General features: G+C 37.8%; 1 long non-coding RNA gene across 22 annotated transcripts in view, besides 3 other annotated features; it reads right to left on the bottom strand.

The window, feature by feature from the left end:
• Nucleotides 1-2,537: 2,537 nt before the first annotated feature.
• CDKN2B-AS1 (CDKN2B and CDKN2A antisense cis and trans regulatory RNA 1) overlaps nucleotides 2,538-13,437 on the bottom strand; it is a 133,352-nt gene continuing 122,452 nt past the window's right edge. For 15 of the 22 annotated variants that reach the window (NR_003529.4, NR_047532.2, NR_185863.1 and 12 more), the window contains 3 exons: nucleotides 11,913-12,036; nucleotides 10,270-10,480; nucleotides 9,967-10,176 (listed from right to left, as the gene is read on the bottom strand). This is a non-coding gene — a long non-coding RNA (CDKN2B and CDKN2A antisense cis and trans regulatory RNA 1). Of the gene's footprint in view, nucleotides 3,578-9,582; nucleotides 10,177-10,269; nucleotides 10,481-11,912; nucleotides 12,037-13,437 lie in introns of those variants that run through there. The other 7 variants (NR_185866.1, NR_185860.1, NR_047537.2 and 4 more) reach the window with 3 other exon arrangements.
• Nucleotides 12,051-12,696: an enhancer, noted in NCBI's record as "H3K27ac-H3K4me1 hESC enhancer chr9:22117983-22118628 (GRCh37/hg19 assembly coordinates)". NCBI's record gives its function as "activates a minimal SCP1, AML or CMV promoter by ChIP-STARR-seq in primed H9 embryonic stem cells {active_cell/tissue: H9 hESC(primed)}" and the evidence as "EXISTENCE:reporter gene assay evidence [ECO:0000049][PMID:30033119]".
• Nucleotides 12,051-13,368: a biological region, named in NCBI's record as "CDK7 strongly-dependent group 2 enhancer GRCh37_chr9:22117311-22118510".
• Nucleotides 12,169-13,368: an enhancer, noted in NCBI's record as "CDK7 strongly-dependent group 2 enhancer chr9:22117311-22118510 (GRCh37/hg19 assembly coordinates)". NCBI's record gives its function as "activates an origin of replication core promoter dependent on BRD2, BRD4, P300/CBP, MED14 and CDK7 cofactors, with strong dependence on CDK7, by STARR-seq in HCT116 cells {active_cell/tissue: HCT116}" and the evidence as "EXISTENCE:reporter gene assay evidence [ECO:0000049][PMID:35650434]".

The raw sequence follows: 13,437 nt of genomic DNA, 5'->3' as shown, positions 1-13,437 counted from the left end.
AGAGGATGGTGTTGAATATGGCTAAATAGTCCGTATGGATGCAACATGAGATGCAGGAATAGCCTAAAAGGCTTCAAGGACTGTATAAGTCTTAGGAGGACACTGATTTTTTTTTTTTCCCATCAAAAGCCACAAATGTGGCTCTAAAGCATTTCCCATTACACCCTGAGTTACAAACAACTTGTGCAGGCACATTGGCTGAGGCAATTTGGAAATCACTCTTGAATAACAGAGGAATCACACCTCTGGAATATTTCTAGAGAATTCAAAGCTAAGAAGATAGATAGCCTGCACAATACATATACATACAGTTTAGAGTCTGCACTTGAGATGCTAGACTTTGAACAATTGCAGAAGGAGACAGAATTCTCTTTAAGTGGAAAATCAGCTTTAATTTAAGAAAGGGACCAATAAAACCTGGACAATGCAGGATGTGACCCAGTGCTCTGACACTGACACAGACAAACAGGTGACTCAACACCCGAATGATAGAAAGAAACAAAAACACAAAGTGAACAACCTAGATCGAGCACTTCCCCAGACCACATTTATCATAAAACTAATGGGTTGGAGTAAAGTACAGGCTGCTGTTACTATCTAAAGCATCCTTTGGTTTTGTTACATGCAAATTACATGTGCAGCTACACATTTTTTTCATTGTTTATACTGAGTTTTTCTCAAAGATGACCTGCAGTTTTGTCTAACGTTATACCAATCAATACAGAGAAACAACACCAATAACAGAAGATGCCAAGAGTAGGCCTTAATCCTATTTGAGACACCACGTCTTATGCATATACTCCAAGTATTGACTCTAGCTATTGCAATTTTCAGGACTCTCACTACGAGATGGAATTTAGAACACTTGTGGATGTTGACTTTCTTTATTTAGAGGCTCAATATAATTGGTGCTCCCAGAGCAGAAGAAATACATGGGCTTTATTTGTTTAGTAAGAAAAAATTTTTACTGTCCCCATGCCAAATTGAAAGAACAAATTACCTGCCTTTATACTTTATCTGTCTCATAAGTCTTCCTCAATGTTCAACCCCTTATTTTTCTTCTTCCCTTGTATTCTCACAGTTACTTTTCCCAAAAGTTGTTCTTCTTTTCCTCACCTTATGTCAACAAGGAAATCATTTAACTGATGAGACTACTTGCCCAGTTTACATTTCTTTTCTAAAGACAGACTTTCCCCCACAATGAAATCCCTGCCAGGAAGACAACTCCACAACTACCACCACCACTCCATCACCCCCACCTTCTTATCCTTGGAGTGAGAAAACCCAGACATTTATCTGGAGTTAAAAGTGTCCTTGCCTGAGAAAGTATGAACCTCCGAGACAAGAGAGGAAATGCTGTAGACAATAGCAGAAGCTGCAAAATCCACAAATGCTAAACTTCACACCACACCCATTGGTGGAATCTGTTACCAGCAACACTCATTGCTGTAAGCACCATTATTTATTAGGGATAAAAAAGAAAAATTATCTGTTTTTAAAGTCAGCTCAGCTCCAATTATCATACATATGAAAGTAGAATATCTTTGCTTTTCTGAGCTAGAAACTAGACAGGGAAGCCCTTCGCTTTCTAAACTTTCTCTTCTCATGTACCCTGAGCACAATTTCTCTCCTGAAACCCCAAGATTAACTGGAGTAATTCCAGACCAAACTGTGAACTAATAACAGCAGGGAACACGATGATAAACAGAGGGAACACTGCTTGGAAATTTTATCAAAATTCTCTAATAATTATATCTACAAATGAAATCTTAGTGTTTAGTCTTATAATTAGAAAAGGAAGCCTGACTAAACAACAGGAAGTGTTTAACATCTAACCTAGGTAAAATAATGAAAAGAATAAAGAAGAATAAGGAAAAAGAACAATGAAAGTACCAGGCATACTCCACATCCTCTGGAGATCCCTGCTTCCTTACTTGTCTCCCCATAAGTGAAGCTTATCTCCCCATTAGTGAAGTGAAGCTTATCTCCACATAAGCTTCTCTCCCCATGAGTGAAGTTGCTCTCTCAGGCTCTTCTTCCTCCTTTCCATGGCATCTCTCAACTCAATCGAGTAACCACACATCTGCCTCTCTCCACCTCATGTCTAACGATGCCATAGCCATATGGTCTGCCACATTCCCAAACATAATTCACCACTGGAATATATAGGGCTCTGTGGTCACAGGCTCTGCAGCCTATGGGCCAAACTAATGCCCCTCCCTGTCACTTTGGAACCTGGTCCATTGCTTTATGCTTCTAGTTGTTTGGAAGACAAAGTCAAATCTCAACTTTACTCATTATTTCAACTCTCTTGGCTTCAGTCTTCGTCTATAAAATGGGCTAGACTGAGCCATCTTAGATAGTTTTCAGGTTTAGAAATACTTCATATACAACACCTAGAGCAAGGCTTAGAGCATATTAGGTACTTCATAAAGAGTTAGTAGCAACAGCAGTAGCAGTATAACAGCAACAGTAATAATGACAATACTAGTAAATTAGAAGTAAACAATCTCGTTATGAAATAAGTACTAACTTCATTAATAAAAAGTTGATCATTTATTGCAAATATATATTGATCCAATATAATGCATAGGTATCAGAAATGTTTTAATATTATATCTAGTCTGTACACACATCTCATAAGTTAGTATGATCATCATTTTCCAGATGAGCGGAATGAGACATGGAAGGATTAAATAATTCTCACAGGGCTTACCAGTTGTAGCATCCTTACCCTTTTTATGCACCCAGTTGTCTGACCCTGGAACCCACACTCTTATTTCACCACTCTACTTTTCTTACATTGAGAAATTTGCATTCACTTCAATACTAGAGAAGTAGACAAAGGGCTTCTGCTACTGAAAGCCAAGTCAATTCAGTCTGAAGTGAGTTCTACAATTAGAGTTTTCATGGTTCAACATCTCATCAATGAATCCACAATCTTTCCCTTCTAGTAATCATCCTCGTTAAGTCAAAGTTCGTATTTGGGACCCTCCTGTCTCCCTTCCTCACTCTCATCCCTGCCTTCCTTTTACCCCGCCCAGAGATCCTCAGTGGACACAGGTGCAACACTCATTGCCCTCAAAGTTCCCCTCCAAAAACACAAAAATGCTCACCCAAACCATCCTTCTCTGTTAAACAATGACCATCTTTTCCTCGTTAAAGCTCTTGTAAGCTCACTATCGTTCTAATTCACCAGCTGTGAGAAAGGGAAGCAATTTAATGAATAATCCATCCTCAAAAATTACTAAGAGGCAGTGCATCTAGGCATACTTACCTTGCTTTTAAAGAAAACATTTAGGCTGGGCACAGTGGCTCATGCCTGTAATACCAGCACTTTGGGAGGCGAAGGCAGGTGGATCACAAGGTCAGGAGTTTAAGACCAGCCTGGCCAAAATGGTGAAACACCATCTCTACCAAAACTACAAAAATTAGCTGGGCGTGGTGGCAGGTGCCTGCAATCCCAGCTCCTTGGGAGGCTGAGGCAGGAGAATCGCTTGAACCTGGGTAGCAGAGGTTGCAGTGAGCCGAGATCACGCCACTGCACTCCAGCCTGGGCGACAGAGTGACACTACATCTAAAAAAAGAAAAGAAAAAGAAAAAAGAAAACATTTAGCTCCAACTGGCTGCTAATTGGTCATATGTCAAACAACAAAAAAGTATCTTGTTTTGTTTTTAGGTAAAAGAGATCAAACAATGTAAAAGATTTGATGCATAATGTCATTCTTCTAGTCTTAATACTTCACCTACAAATAAGCTTATGACACCTCCCCACCTTCTGTTTTAATCACTGTTCTCGATACTCCTTAGAATTCACTCACTTCTCACGCCTGTAATCCCAGCACTTTGGGAGGCCGAGGCGGGCTGATCACGAGGTCAGGAGATCCAGGCCATCCTGGCTAACATGGTGAAACCCCGTCTCTACTAAAAATACAAAAAATTAGCCGGGTGCAGTGGCGGGCGCCTGTAGTCCCAGCTACTCGGGAGGCTGAGGCAGGAGAATGGCGTGAACTCCGGAGGCGGAGTTTGCAGTGAGCCGAGATAGCGCCACTGCAGTCGGCCTGGGCGAGCGAGACTCCGTCTCAAAAAAAAAAAAAAAAAAAAAGAATCCACTTACTCCATCCCCATTCAAGTATACCCAAAGAGAAAAAGGAAAAGCTTAGTTCACCTCTTTCGAAAGATAAGCAAACTTTGCTCTCAACTAAACCTTGGCCAATGCATTTCCCCTTGTATATTTTAATCGTTGTTATTGTTTTTATTATTTTGAAAAGAATACATACACATGACAAAAAAATAAACCTACAAAAGAATATATAATAAAAAATTATTTTCTCACCTATGATAGACCTCTCATTTTATTCTCCAGAGGAAACGACTATCACATTTTCTTATGTACCCTTTCACATATTCATCATGAATATGGACATGGATGTATGATTGCCCTGGAAAAACATAGGTTGGAACTTCAAGGGTTCACTTATAGGTGGCTTTTCTTCCGCCTTTGCCACCCTTGAGACAGTAAGACCAACCCCTCCTTTTCCAGTGTTAATCAACTGTTGATGTTGTTGATAAGGCTTCCAGTCAACAGTAGGCTATTAGCAAAGTTTTGGGGGAGTCAAAAGTTATATGCAATTCTTGACTGCGCAGGAAGCTGGTGCCCCTACCTGCTGCATTATTCAAGGATCAACTGTAAGTAGTTTTTTCTGAATTTTCTTTGGCTATAGTATGAAAGAGAACTATAAACAATTTTGTATCTAGATTTTTCGTTTAACAATATGTCTGGCAGATCTTGGAATATCTGCTTATATCAACTATTTTATTTTTTCAGTTGTTATATATTATTCTTTTTTTAGATATACTGTAATTTGTTGAACAATTTCCCTATTGATGAACATTTGGTTTGTTTTTAGTATTTTTCTAGCGCAATACCACAGTGAACATAATTGTGCATACATGTTTGTATATATTTGTGAGCATAGCTGTAAAACAAAGGGCTCATAATTGCTGAATAAAACAGAAAGTGTGTTTTGATTTTTGACATTCTCAACTTATCTTCCAAAAAGTTTGTCCAATTTACATTTCCTTCACTACTGTATAAATGTGACTGCTTCTGCATACTTTTGTCAACACAGTATTTACCATATATCTTGCTTACCTCTGCGAGTGGCTGCTTTTCAACTGTTGATCATATGGTTAGTATGAGGAATGACAGTAGGGTAGTGACCATAAATTTGGAATGAAATGATAGCCTAAGAAGTGTCATACACAAGTTGGAATATGAAGCAGAGTTAGTTTATTTGTATTTTATAAATATTTCAATAATTCGACATTTAAACATCTCCTCAAAATAGCATGAAGGTCATTCTTTATTGGATATTACCAATATTCCAAATATCTTTGCAGCTCTACTTCGGGTATGATCTTCAGAGTCAGCAGCCCATTCTTTTTTTACTTCTTCAGTAGTAACAGTGTCTTTTAATTTTGATTTGATTTTCCTGATAGCCAAAGGCATTTATAGCCAAGTCATCTAACAAATAAAATTGGTTATCAAGCAAGATAAAATGGTTTTGGTTAAAAATGAGATGTATCTTAAAATGATGTGAGCATATGTGTGTGTGCACACGTGTGCGTGCATGCACGTACATGTGAGAGAGAAACATAGAGAGAGACTGAGAGAGAAACTAGGTCTGAATAATATTTTCAGTGAAGAGTTTAAATATGTTTTATGCTAGTATGTGTGAAGAGTTTCCCAAGGTCACAGCCCTGAAGGACAATTCTCATTTGCGTGTAGACATTGTGGTGTGTTTGCTTTAAAAGATTGATTGTTTTATAGCTATAACTCATAAAGCCTGTGGTCATAAAACACCTCACCCTATCTTGAAGGCAGGCCACACTTGTGTAAACAATGGTATCACATTCTAACTTAGCTGAGACGACTTCTGGCCCTGACATGGCTAGACTCCACGCTGTTCCCAAGTAGCCAGGACTACCTCTAGTTCCACATAATAAATATGAATGATAGCTCAACTAGAAAAACAAGAGAAAAGTTAGTTTTTTAAAAAATAGAGGTTAAGTGATGAGAAATTACTACAAAAAATTTAAAGACAGAAATAAGCATAATATTTGTTTGTTATAAAAGGCGTTACAATTAAAGAGAGAGAGAGAAGGAGAAACTACTCTGTCTTGATTCTGCATCGCTGCTTACCGGAATGACCACACCCTGACTTGTCCCACAGCCCTGTCTGGCCTCAGTTCAGTTCCAACTAACTTAACTGTCCTCTTTGTCACTTTCCAGTGACACTCCACAAATTGGCTGTTTGTTAGTTTAGAAGCTTTTAATTTCTTGAAACTTTGTATTCTGTACCTACTACCTCTACATTTTGTCTACCCATCCCTTTCTTAATGCCCTTAAAATGTGGGATTGTGGTTTGCTGAAAAAAGACCAGACTTTACATCAAATAGAAATGGATTAAAATCTTGGCTTTTAGTTGCGACCTCAGAAAGTGTAATTAATCTTCCTAACCTTTTATAAATGAAATATATATATATTGCCAAATGTTCTAAATTGTTTGAGTAATATATGTTCATAAAAAAACTACAAAAAGATTATACAAGGCAAATATTCATCAGTTTGGTGTATTTGTCTATGCATATGATACCTGTATAAGTTTTACAAAATGAGAACTAATACAATATTTATTGCCTGCAATTTGCTTTGTTTTTATTTATATTTTCAGTAAATGGTTATTCAGCGTCTGCTTACACATCTATCTATAGAGAACAAGAGCTACATAATTGCAAAAATAGTCCTTTCCGTTGTCATTGTTTACGCTCATTGTAGTTGATTTTAGAATGTCTTCTCCATTTGTTTTAAATCTTCCTCACTCTATTTGCATCCATTTGTCCTATTTCTGTCCCCTGGAACAACACAGATAAATCTAATCCCTTTACCACATAACAGACTTTAAACATGAAAAGTAAGCCCTCACTTCTCTCTGACTGTCTTCTTCTTCTAGTTAAACAATGTCAGGGTTTTTTTAATCCATCTTCTCATTCATCATTACTTCTGGATCATTGGCCATCCTAATAGCAGCACCTGCCAGCTCTTTGGCCTCTCTTACCCCTCGAGACCTCCCTCAGTTCCATCCCTCACCTCTTTTGGTGCAAACACATTTCTCCCCAACTTCTACTGAAGTTTTTATTCTGTTTTCATTTCTCTCCTCAGCTACACTAGCATTTCCTCTAAGAACTGAAACAAGACAAGGATGCCCACTCTTAACATTCTTATTCAACACAGTAATGGAAGTCCTAGCCCAAGCAACTAGGCAAGACAAAGAAATAAAGGACATCCAAATTGGAAAGGAGGAAGTCAAATTGTTCCTGTTTGCAGATGACATGATTTTATATACAGAAAAATCTAATGACTCTACCAAAAAACTCAGAGCTAATAACAAATTCTGTAAAGTTGCAGAATACGATATCAATATACAAAAATCAGTAGTATTTCTATACATGAACAATGAACTAGCTGAAAAAGCAATCAAGAAGGCAATCCCATTTACAATAGCTACGAAAACAATAAAATACCAAGGAATAAATGTAACCAAGGAGGTGAAAGACCTCTGCAACTAAAACTACAAAATACTGATGAAAGAAATGGAAAAGGACATAAACAAATGGAAAGATATCTGCTGCCCAAAGCAACCTATAGATTCAATGCAATCCCTATCAAAATACTAATGACGTTCTTCACAGAAATAGAAAAAAAAATTCTAAAATTTATATGGAACCACAAAAGACCCCAAACAGCCAAAGCAATCCTAAGCAAAAAGAACAAAGCTGGAGTTATCACACTACCAGACATCAAAGTATACTACAAAGCTATAGTAAACAAAATAGCATGGTACTGGTATAAAAACAGACACATAGATCAATAGAACAGAATAGAGAACCCAGAAATTAATCCACATATCTACAACCACCTGATTTTTAACAAAGATATCAAGAACACTCAGTGGGTAAAGGACAGTCTCCTCAACGAATGGTGCTGGGAAAACTGGATATCTATATGCAGAAGAATTAAACTAGATTCCCGTCTCTCACCCTATATAAATATCATTGCAAAATGGATCAAAAACCTAAATGTAAGACATGAAAAATAGAATTACTAGAAGAAAACATAGAAGAAATGCTTCAGGACCTTGGTCTGGGCAAAAATTTTCTGAATAATACCTTAAAAACATAGGTAACACAAACAAAATACACAAATGGGATTATATCAATCCAAATAGCTTTTGTACAGCAAAGGAAGTAATCAACAGAGTGAATATACAAACTACAGAATGGAAGAAAATATTTGCAAACTACTCATCTGACAAGAGATTAATATCTAGAATATATAAGGGACTCAAACATCTCAACAGTAAAAACAATCTAATTAAAGAGTAGGAAAATGATCTGAACAGACGTTTCTCAAAAGAACACATACAAATGGCCAATAAATATATGAAAAAATGCTCAACATCCCTAATCATCAGGGAGATGTGAATTGAAGCTGCAATGAGGTATCATCTCACCCCAGTTAGGATGACTATTGTCAAAGAGACAAAAAAAAAAAAATAACAAATGCTGGCAGGGATTTGGAGAAAAGGGAATTCTTATACACTGTTGGTGGGAACGTAAACTAGTACAACCACTATGGAGGACAGAATGGAGGTTCCTCAAAAAACTACGAATAGTACTATGGTATGATTGAGCAATCCCATTACTAGCAATTTATCCAAAGGAAAGAAAATCATTATATCAAAGAGACATCTACAGACCATGTTTATTGCAGTACTATTCACAATAGCCAAGTTATAGAATCAATCCAGGCATCCAAAAACAAAGGAATGGACAAAGAAAATATGGTATATATACACAATGAAATACTATTAAGCCATAAAAAGCAATAAAATCCTGGATGGATGCTCTTGGAGGACACTGTGTTAAGTGAAATAAGCCAGGAACAGAAATTTCCTACTAAACACCGCATGTTCTCACTCACATACAGAAGCTGAAAAAGTTGATTTCATAGAAGTAAAAAGTAGAACAGAGGATACTAGAAGCTAGGAAAAGTAGGGGGAAGGGAGGGATAGGGAGAGAATTGTTAAAGGATACAAAATTATAGCTACATAGAAAGAATAAGTTCTGGTGTTCTATACCCACTATAGGATGACTGGGTATGCGAATTACCCTGATCTGATCACTATACATTATATATATCAAAGCGCCACTATGTACCCTATGAATTTTGTACAGTTTTTTTTTAGTTTTAAAAGAATAAAAATTACTTTGAGCAAAGCATCAGGATCCTTAAAAGAGGATATATTTTGTGTTTCTTTTTGAGCAACCTCTACCCATCTACCCATCACCCTTGCCATTATCAATCTAATCTATCTCCAAGTTAGTTTGGTTGAGGTAAGTGGCTATTTCCTCTTTTTTTTAAAACCAGTACATTTTATGTGCATTGTTTTGATCTTTAAAACATTAGTGATTATGTGTTATGGGGTGAAAAAGTATTATAACATGAAAAGAGAGCTGTTTTTATTGTCTGAGCCCAGTTTTATTTTGTAAATTTGTATGTATATAGCATAGTTGTTAAAATCATTACTCTAAGGTTAGACTGCTTAAGTTCAAATCCCAGCCAATTACCAGCGGTGCAACTTCTTTATGCTTCTGTCTCTTCATATGTAACATGGGGATAATAGCAACCACCTTATAAGGTTGTTATGAGGATTACATGAGTTACCAGTAACACATGTAAAATGCCTAGACAGCATCTGGCACTAGGTAAGCATTACATGTTCACTATGGTGATGATAATGATGATGATGATGATGATGATGATGATAATGATGGATATAATGATGATGGAGATGATAATGATGACAACACAGGAAAATATACCAGAAAGACATATGCCAATATGTTATTACTGGATAATTTTTATTTTCTTCATTTTGTTTATCCACATGTTTACCTTTCTTGTGACTTTTTAATATTTTTGAAACAAGGTTATTTTTTTAAAAAAACCATTAGTAGAGAGATATAGGTTCCAGTCCTGGTTCTGCCACAGCTTTGATCTATATGCTTGGGCAAATCACTTTTCATCTTTCTGTATTTCAATTTCCTAACCTGTAAAAGGAGAAAAAAAAGGTAGAAGTGCTTACAATAGTGACAGTAATACCATATAATCCTGGAGCCCCTGACATTTTACAAAGCACTTACTTATGCAGTAGCTCACAAGGAAACACACATTAGTATCTCCCATGCTCTCAGCCTCATTTAAAAATCATTTAATCTGATTTGCAAAAACAGCTGACCAGTGTGCTGCAAAGCATAAATCTTGACTCTGGCCCTAGCCTCCATGTAGCAGAAAGCTGCAAAGGCCTCAATAGCTCATGCATCCCACAATGTTCAACTTGCTGTCTGTAAGATACTGGGAAGAACGAGACAAGGAAAGAATAAAATGAAGGCAATCATATTTATGAAACAACTGTAATATAGATCATTATAGTGTATACAATCGTTACAACTCATTGAATCTTCACAACAACCTAAGTGGAAGGTTTATTTCCCATATTTCAGACATAACTTTCTCATAAAGGTTTAATATCAGTGCCCAAGATCACACAGCTACTAACTTCAAACAAGGATTTATATGAAAGTCTAGCTGAACCCAAGCTCAAGTTCATGCTAAAGTTCTATGCCACCTCACTGAAATTTGACAGCCACTGGGTTTGGGATGTTGGTTATTGTTTTAACTTGACTGCTAAGCCTCAAGCCCACTGAAGAACTCTGCTAGATAAATGGTACCAAGAACCTAATGCAGTGAGGGAAAGTATTTTACTACAAACAACTAGCCTATAGATGGCGACAGCTTTCAACCCTTTTGGACCCAGACTGGCACTCATCATGAAAGCTTTAATCCAAAAATGTCACTGTATGTCAAATGCGCCCTGAAATAGCCAGACCTCCCAAGTCTATCAGGTAGTGACTGAGACAGCTATTGAGCAATGATAATTCTTCCACACCTACAGTATAATAGAGAACAAACACTTCTGAAGGATGGTCATTGTTCCATATAATAAATATTGGCAGTGAATAAGCTCATGACCCTTTTTTTCTTCCTTGTTCTTCCTCATTTCTCTTTCACCAACACACTTCTTTGCTCGCCTAACTTGATGAATTATAGCCCCAAGAGCGCATAAGAGTGAAGTCAGCATAATATACATTGCTAAAAAGTTCCGAATCAGTCAAATGGAACTTGACTGCCTCTTCAAAGGAAGTAGCATAAAAAGGAAAGAGCAATGAATTTACTGTGTTTGCCTAACTCCATTAAATTGGAATGCTTGGCCTTGAATAAGCAAAATCATAATTACATGTTAAGATATATCTGTGTTATCTTCATGTCATCTTAATGAATGCTTACTAGATGCCAGACACAGTGTACTATATATTATTGCACTTGGGCCTCACAATAATCCTACAAGACAGGCACAGTTATTACACCCATATTGAATGAGGAAACTGAGGCACAAAATTCTACATAACTTTCCTAATGTAACAGAGCAAAAACAAATGAAAAATGATAGCATAGTGATTCATACTCCAGCAGCCTGACTCCAATGCCTACCTTTTCTTAAAGCAAGATCCCGATTGCCTAAGTACAATGGTCAGATAGGCAGGTATGCACCCCTAAATAAGAACTTTCTTCTTTAATCATTTTCATGATATCTCCCCATCCATTTAACAATCCTATATTCAGCAGTTCGTGTGATGAAAATGGACAAAAGGATTACAGCATGCTACAAAGCAAAGGCCACTGTGAAATTCACATACATGTGAATTTCAGCAGCAGAGTCACTCACCTACTGGATCACAGACCATACTTGCACTGGAATTGCTCTGAGCTAACTTATGGTGAATCTACTTAAGGGATTAAGTTTTATTCTTCTTATTACTTGTACTCCAAGTCTGGACTGTGAGACATAGCTGTTAAAAAACGAAAGGTAAAGGGAAAACCATCAGCCTGTGGAACAGCTGTCACTGATTTGTTGCAGGGAAAAAAGTTCATAAACCTTTTAACTCCACAGAGGTTCTTCTCTCTCCATAAAGTTACCCTTCCCAAAGCCAAGGACTGAGAAGGAATGATGACAGGAAAACAGGTTCCTTGTTGTCTCGAGTGGCTTATTGACATCTTTGAGATTTTTCAGACTAAGTGACACCCATTTAGCTGGCTATGCCCTTCATAGCAATGATTTTCTTCAGGTACTTTCTCCCTGTTGAGAGGGAGTGGAGTGGGGTGGGGCAGGGAACATACCATAATATGAGTCTCTCTCTCTGTGTGTCTCTCTTTCTCTCTCTCTCTCTCTCTCCCCATTTTCACTTTTAGTACATGTTAGCATAAGAGTGAGCCTATTCGCACAGCTAATTGAAGGTGACTATGTGGTGCAACTAAAAGGCAATGTGGAGAGAATGGCTCATGACAAGGGAGCTAGCAGAGCCCCACCCTGGGCAACTCTCTCCTTTGTTAGAAACATCTGCCAAGAAGGCATGTGATCATCTGAAGACAGCACAGTCCTAGGAGTCAGAAAGTCAGGATCCAAGCGCTACCCATCCTGCAGTTTTAGGCAAGTTCCTTTCCCTGCTGAGACTCCAATTGCCTCACTGTTACAGGACGTAAAATCTCATTAGATTGGCAGGAGGAACTAATGAAATCACACACAGGCAGATACATTCTGTAAACTCCAGAGGCCTGTGCCAAATGCTGGTTGTGAGTTTATTTTTCAAAGGTTTGAACTTGCCTCTCACTCTAACCGGGAGCTTGTCCTTGATCCTTGAACCTCTTCCCAGGCCTGGGAGAGGTAAAAACCTGATATTGCCTTGGGTGTGACCCCAGTCAGTCTTGCTAATAAACATTCCTTCCTGTTTCTCCACAGTGACAAAGGAGGAGGGCAGCAAGGTCCGAGGAGAGCGGCAGGGGCCACAGCAAGTGCGGACCTCAGCAGGGGATAGCAAGAGTTTGCTCAAGCTGAGTCAGCCCCCTGTTTTTTCCTATTTAAATGATTCACTTGCTAAGGCAAACCAGTCCGAGATGTATGAATCCTCCTCTCCTCTCCCACGAGCTTCCAAATGAGTTGCTGCTTTTTGTTTTTGTTTTTCCTATTTTCCTTCTCCTTCCTTGGAAACATGATTTCAGGGTTTTCAATTTCAGGTTAAGATTCCCCCCCAACCCTTCATTTAAGTGCCCTGGGAGGAGGGGTTGTCATATCAAAGAAACACTATGCTGATATTCTTTACTTTGAATCTATTTAAATGGCCATGTTAAATAGTTGTTTATATTCCTTAAGCTTCCTTATTGATTTTGCACACAAGTAGGTTAAATTAAAAATA

This window comes from Homo sapiens, chromosome 9 (assembly GCF_000001405.40).
Source record: "Homo sapiens chromosome 9, GRCh38.p14 Primary Assembly".
Lineage (NCBI taxonomy): Eukaryota > Metazoa > Chordata > Mammalia > Primates > Hominidae > Homo > Homo sapiens.
This window is presented reverse-complemented; position numbering and strand designations above follow the sequence as displayed.